The sequence below is a fragment of the Homo sapiens genome, chromosome 2 (genome assembly GCF_000001405.40).
Source record: "Homo sapiens chromosome 2, GRCh38.p14 Primary Assembly".
In the NCBI taxonomy this organism is placed as follows: Eukaryota; Metazoa; Chordata; class Mammalia; order Primates; family Hominidae; genus Homo; species Homo sapiens.
This window is the reverse complement of record NC_000002.12, coordinates 207,208,334-207,227,609: the sequence shown is the minus strand read 5'-3', so window position 1 is coordinate 207,227,609 and position 19,276 is coordinate 207,208,334. Positions and strand designations below refer to the sequence as shown.

The 19,276-nt window shown below is 39.8% G+C and overlaps 2 long non-coding RNA genes across 2 annotated transcripts in view, besides 2 other annotated features; both read left to right on the top strand.

The window, feature by feature from the left end:
• The window catches only part of MYOSLID-AS1 (MYOSLID antisense RNA 1), a 67,627-nt gene that overhangs the window by 26,707 nt on the left and 21,644 nt on the right, over window positions 1-19,276 (top strand). The gene's annotated exons all lie outside the window — the stretch shown is intronic.
• Window positions 1,585-1,694: an enhancer, noted in NCBI's record as "active region_17032". NCBI's record gives its function as "activates an Ori minimal core promoter by ATAC-STARR-seq in GM12878 lymphoblastoid cells {active_cell/tissue: GM12878}" and the evidence as "EXISTENCE:reporter gene assay evidence [ECO:0000049][PMID:35858748]".
• Window positions 1,815-1,924: an enhancer, noted in NCBI's record as "active region_17031". NCBI's record gives its function as "activates an Ori minimal core promoter by ATAC-STARR-seq in GM12878 lymphoblastoid cells {active_cell/tissue: GM12878}" and the evidence as "EXISTENCE:reporter gene assay evidence [ECO:0000049][PMID:35858748]".
• Window positions 5,373-8,560, top strand: LOC124907971 (uncharacterized). The gene is made up of 2 exons (XR_007088061.1): window positions 5,373-7,511; window positions 7,622-8,560. It is a non-coding gene; the product is annotated as an uncharacterized LOC124907971 (long non-coding RNA).

Sequence of the window (19,276 nt, the reverse complement as noted above, 5' to 3'; positions counted from 1 at the left end):
TGGGGAAAGTAGGTCAGGGAAGAAAATGCAGGTTTGACAGAGCTGGGAATTGAACTTGTCACCTCAGAGCCCATTGGTGTAGAAAGTGAACAGCCAGCAAGGGACCAGGGAGGAACTGAAGTCTGCTGCCCGGGCAGGGGCAGACACACGCTGTGAAAAGCCGCCTGCATGACGGTCACTGCCCCCTTCCGCGTCATGGCCGAGCTGCCATCTTCCCCCTCCCCCCACCTCATACCCTGGGAAACTACACCAAGTGATCATTCTAGACAGCAAGAGCAGCTGAGACTCTCTCTGGAGAGAATGCCAGGCGGCAGCTTCCCAGCCACCAGCTGCATTTGCGGGACTGGGATTTGAGACAACCACCCCCCCTCCGCCCCGCCCCCTCGTCCGCCCAGAGAGGAGGCTCTAATTACAATCAACATCACCTTCTAGGAAACTTCTTGCATGAATGGCTACCAGCAGAGAAAAGCTTTCTCCTCATCACCCTCCTGGTTAGCACCGTGGTGGCTAGGGGTGCTAGACGTACCCGAGCCTTGGTAACTCTCCCACTTTCTCTGAGTCCAGGCACTGAGCGATTTCGAATGAAGGGTGCTTTTTACAACGCTAAGGAAGTTTCAGATTGGAAGCAGCTCCAAATTCTTTGCTCTGATAGAGGCCTCCTCCTCCTCGCAGGTCTCAAACATGCTTCAGTAGCAACAAGAGGGACTTTGAATTGGTCATTTCAGGCCTGCCTGCCACACCTTGGATACCAAGAAATGAAAGTTTATTAGACACTCCTTCATTGAGTACTTTCAACATACACTTGAATCTGAAAGATATGCATAGCCACAAAGACCACAAACTTATGTGCCTACCACTTCTCCCTGGTCTTTGTTCTGTAATTAGTGACTTGTTTTCCCTCTTTGTGAAATGGGGATAGCATTGGGAATAACACCATCTCTTTGTAATGGAAAGGTTATCTGATTGGATGCAAAGACTCAAACTCCATTTCTGCTTAGTTCACTTACCAAAATTTGTCACCTCCAGATTCCTCAGCTATAAAATGAGGACAGAGTGTCACATAGAGCAGAGTTGTAAGGATTCAACCACAGATAAATGAGTTTGATATGTGGAAGCACTTTTCCCAGGCCTGGCACCTACAGGAAGCTGAATCCAATCCAGGAAGCTGCTCCCTTCCTTCCTCCTTGTTGATAATGCTGAAAGAATTTCTGGTGGGAGTATCTGGGAATAGATATACTCAGGGCTGGCTCTAAATAAACAAGCAAACAAACAAAGGGAGCAGAGAATAGGATCTGTCTGGTCACCTTGTCTTGCACATGTGGCTGTTTAAATAAAAATTAATTAAAATTCAATAAAATTAAAAATGCAGATTCTCAGTTATGTAGCTAAAAGTTAATCATTCAATGGCCACATGTGAGTAGTGGCTCTCATATTGGACAACACAGAGACAGACCATTTCCATCATTCCAGAAAGTTCTATGGGACAGTGCTGAGAGCATTCTTACAGAAATGAGCCTTGCCCTACCAATGAGAACAAGCTTCTTAAAGCAAAACCCAGATTTCCTTTCACCTCAGAGTGCGTCGTCTTCTTTTAAAGACGTTGCCTTTAAGACACACAGTATTTATTTCATAGCCTAACCAAGAAAACCACACTATGTACCCAGGTGTGTTCACATCCCCCTTTCAGCTGGTCTTGTACATGTGTCTTCTGACCAGCTTCTACGCCCCCTGCCAAGCAGGTCGGGGGAAGACCCTACGAAAACAATGTGGGTGCAAATTGGGCTTTCCTATTTCATAGACCTTGCTCCCCTGGATGGCTTTGTGCCTAACATAAAGGGAGAAACATACCACCACATTCTGTAATTGTATTGTGGAATATGAGATGACTTTAAAACAGATAAGAGTGCCTACTCTGCCTGCCTTCCAAGAGCTGGGTCAGAAAAGAGTTTTTATTTTCTTGGTGCAATGAAGGAGGCAGTTTTTATTATTGGGGGTAATATAAGGAAATTGGGAAAAAGACTTTTTAAAGAAAAATGAGTGTTGTGAAAAGAGGGACATTTCCTAAATCCCAAGTCACCTTAGCCTCTGGCCGGCAATATTAGTGAAAGGACATCCCTGGTCATTTTACACGGGTGTGGCTAAAGCCCCAAGCACTGGTCACTGTGGGCTTCCACACGACACCCCTTCCTGCAGGGCAGTGAGCTCACACTTATTCAATCGCTCTCACTTTCTGTGATTCAAATAGAGCAGAAGTTTCCAGGAGGGATTAAAATGTACACCTGAATGACTCCAGCCCACTCCAGCCCAGAGAGAAGCAAAATCGGTGTGATGGGGGCGGGGAGGCATGAAATAAGTCAAGGTTAATTCAGCATGTGAGGAAAGTTTGAATTATTCATTTTCTGACCCTGTACCAGGTACTTTTTACTGCTATAGTCTCTTTGGGGGCAGAGTAGTCACACATGTGTCTCAGCCATCTTTTAAACACATGCTTTGTCTTTTAGTTTTAAGCAAAGGGTTGCGAACATAGGACTTTGGTGCCAACAGCAGCCTGGGAGATGCCTTTTAGGAGCACCCAAATGTGGTACAGCTGAGAGGAGGGAGGGAGCAGCCACTTAGCACTTCCATCCCATTTACGCTAAGTGATTGGGCAGGAGGAGAGGAAAGATTAAAAGCAAGAAGTGAGAAAAGCATCTAAGGGTTTGGAGGAGGGCAGGAAGGAGGAGGAAGTTTCATAGAAGAGGCGTGATTTGGTTTCCTTAAGTCATCAGAGCTCTTTCTTTGTCTTTAAATGACATTTCCAATTGGAAATTCATCTGAACAAGAGAAAAAGAGACAAAGCTCTATTGATTTAAAGAGGCAGGGAACATCATAGAAAGATTCTAGTACATATTAAGAGAAATCAGAACTGTGGACCTTGGCTAGGTTGTTCTTGTATATTAGAGGCTATTTCTCGCCTCTCATCCCACTGTGAAGTGAGTATCACAAAATATGCCAAGCAGTTTCTGGATCTCAGGCTGCTTTGGCTGGCATTTTGTTTAGCTTGTGACATTCTTGGCTGTTCTTATTCTGGTGGGCATCAACACTGCCCAAATCTGTTGGATTGAAATTCATGTTCAGACTACTCCTTTGTTCTAATAACTACTCCATGGCCATCATCCCTGACCAGGTTGAAATAGTGGAGTGTGTATATTCCAGTGCTGCATCTCTGCATTTGTGAGGGTGGAAGCCTCACAAAGAGTTGTGGCCATGTTTACAGCAGGCTGCCATGCAAGGCTAGTGGTAAACCTTTCAGATGCAGGAACTGAGATGTATCCATGCACAAAATGTGCTTGGCGGTTCTAGAATGCAACCTTATGTTTCTGGTTGAATCTAACTCAGAAGCCATTTAAAGTACAGGTCACGGCCGGGTACGGTGGCTCATGCCTTTAATCTCAGCACTTTGGGAGGCCAAGATTGGTGGATTACGAGGTCAGGAGATTGAGACCATCCTGGCCAACATGGTGAAACCCTGTCTCTACTAAAAATACAAAAATTAGCCAGGCCTGGTGCTGTGTGCCTGTAGTCCCAGCTACTCGGGAGGCTGAGGCAGGAGAATCGCTTGAACCTGGGAGGCGGAGCTTGCAGTGAGCCAAGATCGCACCACTGCACTCCAGCCTGGGGACAGAGCAAGACTCTGTCTCAAAAAAAAAAAAAAAAAAAAAAAGAGAGAGGTCACAAACTCAGATACCTACAGAGGCCCAGGTAGATGTCAATGACTGAAGAAAATGAGTGAAGTGGGATGGGAGTAAGGTAATGGGAAGCAGTAGGGATGGGGGCTAAGTGGAGAGCATACAGCCAGTTCAAGAGAAAAACTAGAACTCAGCTTCAGCAGATTGGTGTCACACAGGGCTGGGTTTTTGAGATAATCTAGAAATTCATATTTTTGTGAAATCTCTTAATTTTTTAAAATATTGGCCCAACGTAGATGGTCTGGCCAGGCAAAAAGCAGCCATGAGCCAGATTCAACCAGTGGGACACCAGTCTACAAACCATGATTTGGAAACCTCTCTGACAAGCCTGGTTCTAATGCAGTGATTTGCAAAAGTAATCAGCTTCATGGCTCCCATGATCCTGAAATGCCCCCTTAATGGCACTAGTATCAAACAAGGCCAAGGGGCTGAGACTGTAAACTCCTTTCATGTGCAGCCATTTTGCTAAGTGGCTCTTACCAGCTGTAGGCTGTAGAGTTCCTCACCCTGTTCCAAGCATGGTCTGGTCCTTCTTGGGGATTGGAAATTGTGCTCTCACTCCTCTTCCAGCTAATTGCTTTAATGCATCCTGAATGTATCTAGGCTGCCGCCCCTAACCACTGGGTCATCATTTATTCACAGGCCTGAAGTCCCTTAAGCAGCCTCCTGCTGGCCCACACGCTGCAGGGGATTAATGTAGTCTGGTTGGTGAGTCAAAAAGAAAGATGACATCATTTTCATGTCAGGAATGAGGATGTGTGTTTGTCTATGTACGGGTTATAGAGTGCAAAGACAGGAAAACTGAGGCTACTTCTTTTATAAGGTAGCACAATAGCCCCCTCCCTCTTTGTCTTTTGCTTTCAATCCAATCTGGCTTCTCCCAAGTGAGTTATTAATATGGGACACAGCCTGACTTCTTCCCTTCTGTCTCCTCATATAAATCCAACTAATTAATTTACTTTAACAAGAGGAATCTTTTTCTATCTCTTTCCATCTTCGTCGTTCAAGCTCAGTTTCTCTGAATTCAAATCCAAGATACACAGCTACTTCAATAATTACACTTTGAACTTTATCTCTGAGGCTCAGTGTGCAGAGATCTCTTATTTTGCGTCATCAGATCCACTGTCATAAGCTAAGGGAAAAAGAAATCTTAAGTAAAAGGGTTATTAAATGAGAAGAAGAGTTAGAGAGGGCAGGTAAAGACCAGACTCATATTCTGTCTGGTTCAATTAATGAAGGGAAAATGGAAAGAATACTGCAGGTGCTGCAAACTGGACAACCTAAAGATATTTACACATTTTTTTTTTAAAGCTCCACTACGTTGAGTTCATTCAATACCACAGAATGGTGGCAACAGAGTGCCTCCTCCTGAACAATTACTTGGTTAAATCTTGTGTCTTCTTTTAACATATGAATGGAAAACTCCACCAAAATATGCCATTTGTTGCCAGTTAGCCCAATTAGAAGCCTCCCCACCCTTCCAAAAAGAAAGCTGAAGCAAACAGAGCTGTGTTGGTTTCAGGGATGCTCTCTCGTAAAACGGTATCTGCATGCCACAAGCTGAAGGAAAGGTTGATCCTGCAGAGGAAATTCAGGTCAGAACTGACAAAGGTGAGATACGGGAAATGCAAGAATAAACTAGAGATTGCCTTGTGTTCCTCCCAGCTGCAGGAAGGCGTGGGAATGATTCCCCATGTGAATGAGCACTGGTGGAACTTCCCAGATCATTGCTTAGAGCTCCTTTAATTCTTTCCTTGGTGCTGCAAGGGATTTTTCTTTTTTTGTGGAAAGTGTCAATGCTTGTCTTTCAAAAGCACCACCCCCACGCCTGCCACCCCCCAAGAAAAAGTAAAAAGAGGACTTGAAAACCAAGTGCCATCCTGCCCATTTGCACACCCATGCAGAGAGGAGTCAGGAACTGCTAATGAACGTACCAACTGTGTATGAAAAATCAGCCAAGCTCAGGCTTTGGGCTTTCATTTCTCTGCTGAGATCCTGACTCTAGACTGCCTGTGAGAAACATGAGCATGGCTTCAACCACAATGTGAACAGAGAGCAAGACTAATAAAAGTGAGGTTCTCCTGGAATATGAGTTAAAAATGAGCACTGTCTTGGAGCAAGCCAATTGTATCCCATTATTATTTCCTGACTTGGTCTGGTAACATCTTAAAATACAAGCAAAACTACCTTCTTCTTTTTAGGACCTATGACCTTTTAAATCTTGCTTTCCAAGATTTAAGAACTGGCAAGTATGGTTACTTTTTAGAATAAGTTTCCTATTCTTTCCTCACTTCGTCTCGCCTCCCTCCCTTCTTTCCCTTTTTCCTCCCTTCTTTTTAATACAATAAACTACCTAGCTATTTTTGACTGAAATGGATCAAAATCCGGATGAGTGCAATCTTGAGTATGTCTAGAGACATGTGCGTCTAGAGTATGTCTAGAGACAAGCTGCACCCTTTGTGCAGCTTTTCTGCGCATTCATGTCTATCATAATAATAATAGCTACTATTTATTGAGCATTCAGTATGCACCGAGCATTGTGCTATGAGCTCTGCATATATTACCACATTTAATGCAATTATTAAAACTGAAGAAAAGTGGAACTTCTCCTTTCTGTATTTCAGTAATTCTTCATTAATATTCCTTCATAGATATGCCACTATACCTAGCCCAAGCCCAGATGATGACTACTGCCAAGGATAAGGTTGTTTCAATGTGTAAATATTATTTGTATTCTAGAGGCAAGTGGGAGATGTCGTCTTCAAAGCAGTAAATCTGTGCTCACTTTCTGGAAGTTTGCTCCCAAGGGACTTGAATGTCTTAAAGTGAATTAAATTATTTGCTTCCAAAGCTTGGTCTTGGGCAAGCTATTCAATCTCTTGTGTGTGAATTTCCTCAACTTTAAAATGAGACTTAATGGGTGTATATGAGGGACTTAGAACAGTACATGGCATATTAATTGCTCAGTGAACGTTAGCTATTATCATTGTCATTGTTAAATTATCACAACACTCTGAAGAAGGCATTATCATCCCCATTTTACAGATGAGGAAACTGAGGCAAAAAGAATTCAATAACTTGCCCAAGGTCACATAGCAGTCAGTGAGGGAGGTGATGATTCTCACCCTAGGTTACTCTCAGTTCAGAATCTACAAGTAAAATATGATTTTACCTCTCACTATAGAAAGTGATATGTGGTCATGGCTGTATAGAAAACTTCTTTCTCCTATAGGAAACCTGAGCTATAAAGTAGACATAAAATGTCCTGAAGACTGGAAACGTGTCACATGAGAAGCATTTTCGATCCCTCTGGTAGAGAAGGAGTGCTTAATTACCATGTGCCACTGCTGTTAACCTTTGCAAATAAGTCTAATTATCACAGATTAATGAACAGAGCTTAGGCACATCTAAAGGGGCTTTGCTGAGGGGTTTTCATTTCTGCATTTCATTAGCTCCATAAACGCTGTTGTTCCCCATGCACACGGTTATAGGACTTTTATTATTTTTTTAGCTGCGCTCTGTGAAATATCAACAACAGAGCCTGCGAAATAGCTCAGGGCAGGGATCGCTTTCCAGGAAATCTTTAGGAAGCCTGTAAGTTGGGTGGCTGCTGCTTCACTGTTTACTGATGAATCATGCCACATTGGTTTATAGGGAATAAAGCCTTAGACAGTCGCCAAGGAAACAGGCTGAGATTTTGGAAATATCTGAAACCACAGAAAAAATTTCCAGAAAAAAATCAATGTCTTAGTCAAGAGTCAGGTTAACCTTATCTGCATCAAGGTGAGTAAGAACAATGGAAATACAGCTTAAAAGATCCATTCCTGTCTGTACCATGACTTAAAACCATACATACCATGTTGTGATTCTCAGAAAATGTTCTCTTTGAATAGAAACCATGTTTGCTATACTCATCCTGGAAAGTGGCCATCCTGCTGGTCCTTAGAGCAGGCTGTGCCTGGGAGCCATCTTTGAATATCCTCTGAGCTCAGAGGGAGAGACATACCTCTAGTGAGGATCCTGGAAACCTCCGTGTGACATTGTGGCAAGAGAGCAAGCTGGTAGTTCGCAAAGGGCTGCCGCCATTCAGAGGCTGGGACCTCAGGAAGATCTTTGGCACAATCTACTAGACACGTTTCATTAATAAATGATTAGATTTGCAAATCTTGTCAGTAGAGATTGCTATCACAGAATTAATGAAATAAATAATGAAACATTTCCAGTGTTTCTGGCTGGCTTTCAGAGCAGAGTAGATCTCTGCCTTTGTTGCAATTTATGGCTGTCTCTTTGATCAACTCCTGGGGAGTTCAAGGAATGATTTTCCTGCTTCCAACACACGCCTTCGGCTTTTAGGTTTGCCTTTTTTTTTTTTTAACTTGACTTTTCATATCATTTTGAGCTTCAAACACAAAGGTTCCCCAGGATAATTTCAGATAAAGAAACCCAGCAGAGTGAATAATCTGCAGTAAAGAAAATCTGAATTGTACTTTGAGAAACAACCCATTTGATGCTGGGTTAGGGAAGGGGTACGGGAGGGATTTTGCTCACAAATGAACACAAAAAACGTTCATGATTTTATTCAAATGTCTCCATTCTGCACAGCCTAAAGCTGAGAGCATTTCCTGATCCAGAAGCAAACCAAGATGCCACCCAGTGTGGATTACCCAGCAGGCAGACAAAGCATATGTTCAGGACATTAGCAATGCCAGGTGGCTGACATTTCTTTTGTTCAAAAAGAAGAAACAAGATTTTTCATATCTCAAAAAAAAAAGTGTCAAAATAGTCATGGAGAAATCAGAATGTTGTTGGAGAAATAAAAGCTCATTTTCTGACTTAGTATTATTTTAATTTGAATTACTATCAGGCACAAGAGGGAATGGAGCCCTAACATCTGTTCACCGTATGGGGCTTCTAAAACTCTTCATTTGCCTGGTAATATATGAAATTTCTTCCTTCACCCATTCTAGTCATAAGGCAATGTGGCCATTATCTGTAAGCCTGACATTTTGGGTAATCTTTCAGAGGAAAGCATAATATTAACAATATAAATAGATTTTCGGTTCTCTCCCTCCGCATCCCCACACAGTATGTGAATAGGCACACACACCATTTCTGGGAAATCAGTGAGTCCAAAAGTCACAGTCCTGATTGCTGCTGGACTTGACTTCTTGGGAGCTACCATTATGCTTATTGGGCAAGTTACAATGGAGCCAAGTTCAAATCCATCCAATTAAAAAATCCAATTAAAAATGTACCTTTGAGTATCTTAATCCTTTCTAATTTCATCCCGTGGCACAGCAATTCTACAGGCAAAACACTTCAGGCTTTGTCTCTTTACATGGTTTAGATTATTTCTTTGGGAACAAGATACTTTCCCAGTAGAAAAAGACTTGAAAAAGTAGTTAATTGTTAAGTTGAGGAAATAAAATTAATGCTACAATTATAAGGATCAGAGCAAAACAAACAATAAAAACTGCCCTTTAGGTTTGAAGAGGGGTCGTCAGGATCTGTCTACAAGGGGGTAAATATTTTTGCACTGTAGTTTTATGATACTTTTTTTACTTATCTCCCAGAATTAACTACTTCTCTAATGGGAGTTTAAACATTTGATTGGTTCTACTCTCCGAGATGAGAATTAGACTTTATTGTTATCAAATTATTACTCTATTTTATTGATTCTAAATTGCACAATTTTTTCACATTCTGTCAATTCTGAAATCATGAGGCATATCAAAATCACCATCAGCCAAGCAGCAGTCATGATGTACCACACATGGACGTTGAAACTTTCAAAATGGGAGCCAGCTACTGCAAAGGAAAACTGTAGGCAATGGAAGCAGGGCATCAACAATGCTCTTAATGGCACAGAGCATGATGTTGGGTGGAAAAATGTGGATGTTGATGGCAATGGGTCAGATAAACTGTACAAACCATGACATGCATAGCAAACTAAACATAAGGGGTTTTGATACCAGCTGGTTAAGACTAATATGTTCCAAGATAAGACCACTGACTTCTCATTACAAATTTCAACCTATCCCTGCCCAGCTCTCACTTACTACCAGGTTGGTGCAAAAGTAATTGGGGTTTTTGCAGTTATTGCAAAAACCCCAATTACTTTTGCACCGACTTAATAATTTCTGCCCCAGATCACCTTGTGACAACCCCTACACCTCATGGAACATGAGCAGTACCTTTCCCTGACTCGCCTTTTGAGAATACTGAAACTCTTAAGGTGGTGCTTTCTTTTGCTCAGCAAGTTTAATAAACCCAGTTTTTCTGTGATCAGCAGTTTTCCCTGGTGGTTTTGGTACAGAGCTTTGATACCTCAAAAAAAAAAAAAAAAAAAATCAGTAGAATCAGGCTCTAATTCTAACAAGTTTTAGGAATAAATTATTTAACTGATATTTCTTTTTTAATGTATACACAAGAATAATATATGATTAAAAAATACATATGTAGTAAGTTTAAAAGAACTTTCACCAAAGCATAAAATAAGAAACTGCCAGTAAGAAAGCATTGTGTTATAGTTGATTGGCATAAATTTTTCTTAGTGATACATAAAATAATGATGTATCATACAATCGATAGCATTTTATATTTACTAAAATACAGTAATAATGGCTAGCTAACTTTTTTCTGGACATTAATGATGCGCCATGCACTGTGCTAAATGCTTTACCTGAGCCGACTGATTTAGTTCTCAAAGCATTGTGAGGAGGTAAGTCCTATTGTTACCCTCATTTTGTAGAAGTATAAACTAAGTGTGGAGTGTTGCCTTACATTACACACTAATGAATGGTGGAAGAGTTAGGGTTTGGATCCGGGTATTCTGACTCCGATAGGATAGGAGGAAAGAAATTCCATTTGTGGGACTATTTTCTTAAAACCAGCAGAAAGCATTAATTAGAATGACAGTAATTTGTACAAGGCATGCACTAAATTTTGGAATTGGGCTTTTAAGGGTAATATATTTACCAGTTCTTTGGTGTTCATGGCAGTGAAGTTGTTTCCCTTGGGTATTTAAGAAAAGATGTATTCTGAACCTCAAATATTTGCCAGCTTGTTTCTTCCAAAAGAGAGTCCCTAGGTGTTCAAAGCCATACATCAGGGTTAAAAAACAAGCAACCAAATAAAAACAAACCCAGCACTTGGGTCATCCATTTAAGTCACTGCTTGACAGCTGTTCTGGGAATGGCTGTTGCCACGGGTTACTGCAGGGCACTTAGCATCTCAGCCTTACCCATCACATCCAGCCTGGGCTCCCATCTCTCTGAAGAGATGACCCTTCCTTCCTTCCTTTTCCCACTCCACCCCCACGTTTGTGGTTCATATTAGATTTTTTTTTCCTTTTCAACAGAAACAAAGTAATAAATATGCTAAAAATTCCCTAGATGTTTCATAAGGTATTATCTGCCTTTGATTCCTTTGTTGCCTCCTATTTTTCCTCATAGATCACAGCATCAGCACCACTTCTTCTGTAAGTGTCAACACGCAGTTCCAACCTGTGGCCCTCCACAGGTGGGGTCACAATTGGGCATTGTCAAACAATGAGTGTAGCAATATAAACATCAAACAATTAACATGTTCTTAATTGGATTTTGCAGATAGTAGCCATCACAGTGTATTTCCAGGACTTTCATTGTTCTTGTTTTTCTTTCTAAAATCTTTCTCTCTTATCTAATCAATGCATTTTCATATTCTTTTTGGCCAATAAATTTGACTAAGGTGCACTGATTTTCCTTCTACCACCTGCTTCCCTTTCTTCACACACTGAGAGTTTCAGAAATCCATTAAGACCTCACTTCACCCCCATCTTTATGTTTTAGGAAAGGGGGTGACTAAGGGATAGCATCTCACTTAGGTAGTGTTACTTATTAGAAACATACATGCAAAATACAAGCATTACATATCATCTATAATGCTAGTTGTATTGAACATTTCTGATTGTCAAAATCTTCAAAATCATGAAATGTACTTGTCGCCTATTATACTTTTCAAAAAAGATTATTTGTGGAAAGCATTTTGAGATTCTTGTAAGAAATGTAGCATATTATTATTCCTTTGTTTCAGGTGTTGGATAATGTTTAAGAATTACAGCTTCCGCTGATGCTCTGAGTCAAATCAAATCTTGTCAAATCCACTGTTGGTTTTCTGACATTTATAAAAGGAATTTGTTCCCCATTACACTTCTTTTTCCTTTGCCTTTTCTTTCCATCGCCTGCTCCCCAACCATTACTTTCTAGTCAGCACATGCCCCTTTTCTATGGTTTGCTTATAGATTATTAAGAAAAAAGATGTAAACTCACAGGGAGGATTAAGGTAGGCACAGCTGGTGTCAACAAAAACAGAAAGAGATGAAAGAGTATTGAGCGTGTCTGAATGGACAGCCTGTGGGGCTCTCTTGTGACCCATCCTTGACCTTTACCCTCCCAAACCATGCCCAAGGCAAGTAAACAGCTTTTCAAAAGAGACTACCTTCTGGGACTCTTCATACATTTTCATTTTAATTTCTTTGCAAAATGGGCAAAAATAAATGTGCTTATGAAGAGAAATGCTACTGACAAAAGTTGAATTTGAAATGACATAGAATCACTGTGTTACCTATCACATCAAGGGTTCTAAATTGCTAATCAGTTTATCCCAAATGAAAAGAAAAGGAAATGTCTCCAATGAGTGTTTTAAACTTCCCTGCATCATTTAAAATGGTTACGTGAGCCTTTGAAAATATTGCCTTGAGGCATTATGGTTGACTTAATTTCTTCTTTGTGTTTTAAGGATTATCTGTTATGAGCATGTATTACTTCTATAGTCAAAAAGGAGACTATTTTAACAAAAGTGAAATTATTGCATAAATGTTTTAAATATGAAAATACCACCCAGTGCGTTATTTTTATAAATGACTGAGATAAAGAAAGCAGCTTCTTAAAGTTGAACTATGTAAGAATGTAGATAAACTGTCATATGCCCAAGAATTATTTTCTGATATAAAAGATGGATTAAAGATAGACTTAAATTTTTCTTCACTACATGGTTAGTATTATATCCCAAACTGAATAACTCTTCTTTCGTATATCTCTCAGCCCAAATAGAGAAAAGAAAATTTTCTATCTGTACCTGTGGTTTGCAAGTTAGAAGCGATTTTTGTAATTAGTCATATTCAGCTGCATGAGAAGAAACACAAGACCCCAAAATAATTTGACCTATAAAATCTCAGTCTCTACTTGATAACAACTGGGACTTCTGGAACAGCACAGAACAGAATGACGTGTGGGCAGAAAGCTGTCATCAGCCCTTCATCTCATTTTCAGTGGGTTTTCTTTTTTTTTTGGTCTGACAGTACCACTTTATTTAGGATACCAGTTTATCTTTAATTAAGATAAATATTGGAAATATGGGTAAGATAGTTAAAAATAGTTTTCAAAGTCAACACAGAGATGAGGAAAACAGTCCTACTCTCTGGTTGTGTGAAAATGACTTCAGACAATCATTTTATTTAGTAAATACACATTGAAAGAGAAGATCTACCCAAACAAAACAATATGATTTCAGTTAAAGCAAACTGCTGAAAAATCTAATACAGATATGTGTTGTAAGTGCTAGTTACACGACATCCCAAATATCCAGCTTTTTACAGGCTTGCAAATCAAATTGCTTTATGGTTAGAGGAGCATTTAATACAGTGTGACCAGTTTAAAGTTAACATTTTGTATTCAGAATGATTAATGACACCATGTTGTATTTCAATTACTACAAGATACTTCTCTATAATAAACGATGGCAATAATATTCACATTAAGTCAATAAAAAGCATCTTCAAAGTGTGATGTATAAGTGCCATTTTTATAGTATAAGTTGATCACATCATACAATGAATTATCAACAGTGTAACAGGAAATCTCTACACCAAAGCATATATTTTCATCTCTGTGTACAGGGATTTTGGCAGATCCCTGTGCATTAGTATTAATAGGAGTCAAGTAAAAATCCTCACATGCATTAGCTAGAGAACTCCTCCTTCTTCTCCCAGCCTAACTACACTTCACTTGCTCCAAACTGCATTTTAGCAGGTTCAATATGAAAAACCACCTTATTTCCCAGGGCACCAAAGTCCAGAGGGAAATAAATGTGGCAAGTGACTTAACTATGTTCTGGAAAACCAACGCTTGAGGAAAACAAATGCCAAAGAATATTATTTATTTCCCAAAAGGGTCTGTCTACTTGAGAGAGGGAGTTTGGGCACCTGGAACTTGGAGAAGTTTCTGGATGATAAATCCTCAAGGAATCACTGCTGTTTAAATGGTTCTGAATGGTTCCTGGTTACAGTTGTGAGGATTACAGAAGCGAGGGTGTCAAGGAGATGGTCCAAGGAGCTCAGAAAAGGTGGCACATGGGAAAAAGTAGGGAAGGTGGGTGGTTTCTGCTTCCCCTCTATCTGCTCTCTTGTCCCTCCCAAATGGTTCCAGCTCACTTGGTCATCATGACAGAATGACTGGATGAGAGGCACAATGGAGGATGTGCTGGGAGTGGGAGCCAATGCCGCTGACCTAACAACTCCACAGAGAAGAGCTTCTAATTTGGAACTGCACCCTGCCTAGAGAGTGGCTGCAGGTGGGAGTATCAGATGAAAGATCAGGGCCAATGTCCAGGGACACAGATGTTTGTTGGGAAGGCTGTCCCCTACATCACTGGGTAGTCATGTCTGATTTTACTTCTGTAGTTACGCATAAGTATGATCTACAGACCAAAGGGAGGATAACATGATCTCTTTTTCTTCTTCACTCGTACTGTTTTTTTTTTTTTTTTTAAATAAAAAACTAGTTTTTAAAGATAATATTATCTCTTGCAGATCTCATGATACCACAGGTCCAGGTAATTGCTAGTGATATTGTGGAATCAAAATAACTTTTAAAATAAACTTAGATATACTCCCTAAATTGGTCAATTGGTCATTAGAAGAAAAATGAGTCATTGGTGTGAATGATCAATATCAGAGTAAGGGGCCCAATTTACTCCAATACAAGCCAAACTCATCAAGGGAGTATTCAATAAAACAGCAATATAAGATGAATATAGACTCCAGAATATAGTTAAATTAGATCCATATCAAATTGAAATTTTCTTAGAAATCTAGGTTCCCTGCCAACTGTCCATGGCTTCGCTTATAATTCTCTCTCTCTCTTTTTTAGACAGGGCCTCACTCTATCACCAGGCCAGAGTGAGCTATGCAATCATAGCTCACTGCAACCTCCTGGGCTCAAGGGATCCTCCCACTTTAGCCTCCTGAGTAGCTGAGACTACAGGGAGTTGTCACCATACGCAGCTAATTTTTATTTTGTATTTTATATTTTTAAAACAATTTCAACTTTTATTTTAGATTTGGGGGTACATATGGAGATTTGTTTCCTGGATACATTGTGTAATGCTGAGGTTTAGGGTACAATTGATCCCAACACCCAGGTACTGAGCATGGTACCCAATAGTTCATTTTTCAACCTTTTCTCCCTTTCCTCTCCCCTCTAGTAATCCCCAGTGTTTATTGTTGCCTTCTTTATGTACTCACTGAGCTCCTTGGACCATCTCCTTGACACCCTCGCTTCTGTAATCCTCACAACTGTAACCAGGAACCATTCAGAACCATTTAAACAGTACTCACTCTTTAGCTCCCACTTATAAGTGAGAACATGTGGTATTTGATTTTCTGTTCCTGTGTTAACTTGCTTAGGATTATGGCCTCCAGCTACATCCAAGTTGCTGCAAAGGACATGATTTCATTCTTCTTTATGGCTGCATAGTATTCCATGAATTATATATGTACAACATTTTCTTTAACCAGTCCACCATTGATGGGCACCTAGATTGATCCCACATCTTTGCTACTGTGAATAGTGCTGCAATAAATATAAGAGTACATGTGTCTTTTTGGTAGAACAATTTATTTTCTTTTGGATATATACTCAGCAATGGGATTGCTGGGCCAAATGGTAGTTCTGTTTTAAGTTCTTTGAGAAATCTCCAAACTGCTTTCTACAGTGGCTGAACTAATTTACATTCCCACCAACACTTAAAAGCATTCCCTTTTTTCTGCAGCCTCGCAGCATCTGTTTTTGTTTTTATTTTTTTATTTTTGTAGAGACAGGATCTTACTATGTTGCCCAGGCTGATCTCAAACTCCTGGTTTCAAGCCATCCTCCCACGTCAGCCTCCCAAAGTGGTGGGTTTACAGCCTGCACCTGGCCTGGTGTTTTTTGACATGTTTAGGATAGCCATTCTGACTGGTGTGAAATGATATCTCATTGTGGTTTTGATTTACATTTCTCTGATGATTAGCAATGTTGAGCATTTTTTCATGTTTCTTGGCCACTTGTATGTCTTCTTTTGAGAAATATCTGCTCAAGTCTTTTGCCCATTTTTTAAATGGGGTTCTTGACTTTGTCAATGCATAGTTTGCATATATTTCCTCCCATTCTGTAAGTTGTCTGTTTACTCTGTTAATAGTTTCTTTTGCTGTGCAGAAGCTCTTTAGTTTAATTAGGTCTCACTTGTCAATTTTTATTTTCATTGCAATTACTTTTAAGGACTTTGTCATATATTATTTCCCAAGGCCAATGTCCAGAATGGTGTCTCCTAGGTTTTCTTCTAGGATTCATATAGTTTAAGGTCTTAGATTTAAATCTTTAGCTCATTTTCCGTTCATTTTTGTATATGGTGAAAGGTAGGGGTACAAAAACTTCATTCTTCTGCATATGGCTAGTCAGATATCCCAGCACCATTTATTGAACAGGGGATCTTTTACTCATTGTTTATTTTTGTCAACTTTGTCAAAGATCAGATGGCTATAGGTGTGCAGCTTTATTTCTGGGTTCTCTATTCTCTGCCATTGGTCTATGTGTCTGTTTTTGTACCAATACTATACTGTTTTGGTTACTGTAGCCTTATAGGGTAGTTTGAAGTCAGGTAATGTGGTGTCTCTGGCTTTGTTCTTTTTGCTTAGGATTGTTTTGGCTATTTGGACTCTTTTTTGTTTCCATATGAATTTTAGAATAGTTTTTTTATAATTCTGTGAAAAACGATGCTGGTAGCTTGATAGGAATAGCACTGAATCTGTAGATTGCTTTGGGAAGTATGGCCATTTTAATGATATTGATTCTTCTAATCCATGAGCATGGAATGTTATTCCATTTGTTGTATGATGTCACCTATAATTTCTTCCAGCAGTATTTTGCAGTTCTACTAGTAGAGATCTTTCACCTCTTTAGTTATATATGTACCTAGGCATTGAAACTTTACTGAAGTCATTGATTAGCTCCAGGAGCTTTTTGGTGGAGTATTTAGGGTCTTCTAGGTATAGAATCATATTGTCAATAAAGAGAGGTAGTTCTTCTTTACCTATTTTGATGGCTTTTATTTCTTTCTCTTGCCTGATAGTTCTGGCAAGAACTTCCAGTACTGTGTAGAATAGGAGTGGTGAGAGTGGGCATCCTTGTCTTGTTCCATTTCTCAAGGGAAATCATTCCAGTTTTGGCCTGTTTAGTATGATGTTGGCTCTGGAATTTTCATAGTGGCTGTTATTATTTTGAGGTACGTTACTTCAGTGCCTACTTACTTGAAGGTTTTTATCATGAAAGGATATTGTATTTTATAAAAAGCTTTTTCCACATTTATTGAGACGATCATGTGATTTTTGTTTTGAATTATGTTTATGTGGTGAATCACATTTATTGATTTGTGTATGTTGAACCAAGCTTGTATCCTAGGAATGAAGCCTACCTGATCAAGGTGAATTGACTTTTTGATGCAATGCTGGATTCAGTTTGCTAGTATTTTGTTGAGGATTTTTGCATATGTTCATCTGAGATATTGGCTTGTAGTTTTCTTTTTTCATTGTGTCTTTGCCAAGTTTTGGTATCAGGGTGATGCTGGCTTCATAGAATGAGTTAGGGAGGAGTCCTTCCTCCTTGATTTGTTGGAATAGTTACAGTATAATTGGTACCATCTTTTCTTTGTATGACTGGTAGAATTTGGCTGTGGAGCCATCTGGTCCGGGGCTTTTTTTTTTTTGGTTGGTCGGTTTTTTAATTATTGGTTCAATTTTGGAACTCGATATTGGTCTGCTCAGGGTTTTGATTTCTTCCTGATTCAATCTTAGGAGACTATGTTTCTAGGAATTTACCCATTTTCTCTAGCTGTTTAGCTTGTGTGCACAGAGGTATTCATAATTGTCTTTGTGGATCTTTTGTATTTCTGTGGGATTGGTTGTAATGTCACCTTTGTCATTTGTGATTGTGCTTATTTGGATCGTCTGTCTTTTTTTTTTTTTTGTAATCTAGCTAGTGGTCTATCAATCTTGTTTATCCTTTCAAAGTACAAACTTTTGGTTTCATTGATTCTTGTATGGCCAAATCCTACACCTTCCTATACTTGTGGTTTGCAGGTTATAATCAAGTTATCAGATGGCTGTGAGAAAGCTGTTAACTTCCAGGGGTCTTAGTTTCCTCATTTCATAGTAGAGATGATGCCTGTTGTCCAAGGTTTAATCAAACAGGTATGTGGAGGCCCTCACACAGTGCCTGGCACTTCATAAGTCTTTTCTTAGTCCATAGTCCCTCATTTGTAATTCTAAAATGCCCCAAATTTGAAATAACAAAATTGTTTCATTTGTTTGTAAGTTGGTGTCAAAATTTATTCAGTGGCAAAGCCTGACTTGAACCAATGAGAAGCTATTTAATGGCTCTAACTCCACTTAGCATAATTTGCTGCAGAGATATTAATGCATTAAGACAGATTTAATTAGTGTACTTGAAGTCCCAAAATTCTGAATTCTAAAACATATCTAGGGCAAAGGGGTCCAGAGAAGGGGCTTTAAACCAATGATAATGATGATGATCGTGAAGATGGTAATGAAGATGGTGATAATCCCAAAACCTTTGCCTGTCATTAGCTTGCTCCTTTCTTCTGGTTATGGTACTTAATTCTTGATATTTGGCATCTGTATCTCCCCGTGACCACCCTGTATCGTGACACAGTTTCTGAGAGCCACCTGACACTTTCTCCCAGTTTCCGGTACTGACCTGCCTATACACCCATGATTTTGATTTTGCTCACCCTCTGGTACTCTGGGCTCAACCATTACTGGCTTCTGGGAATGAGAAACTTGACTTTATACTTGTCAAATGAATCAGGACCAACACTTTGTGGTTCAATTTGGCTGGGAGAAACAGTTGGCTGGCTTAGTAAGGATGGAAGGACACTGAGGGTGAGGACAATTTATCTCCTTGTGAAGTAGAATCCATTCACACACTGGCACCTTATTTATTTCTTATTTATTATGATTGTTTGTATATAAAACAGCTCCTTTCAAACAGCAGGCTTTGTGGTATGAATTCCATGGTCAGAAACAGGAATGCTATGGGAGACCTATGGATGTTATCTGGGATGGGTTCCCTCCTCTGAATCCCTCCACAGGTGGGTGGTCTATGGCTCCTTGGTCTCTGCCCCATGAGACGAGGATTCTATCTCCATCCATTGACATATAGCTGTAGCCCAAG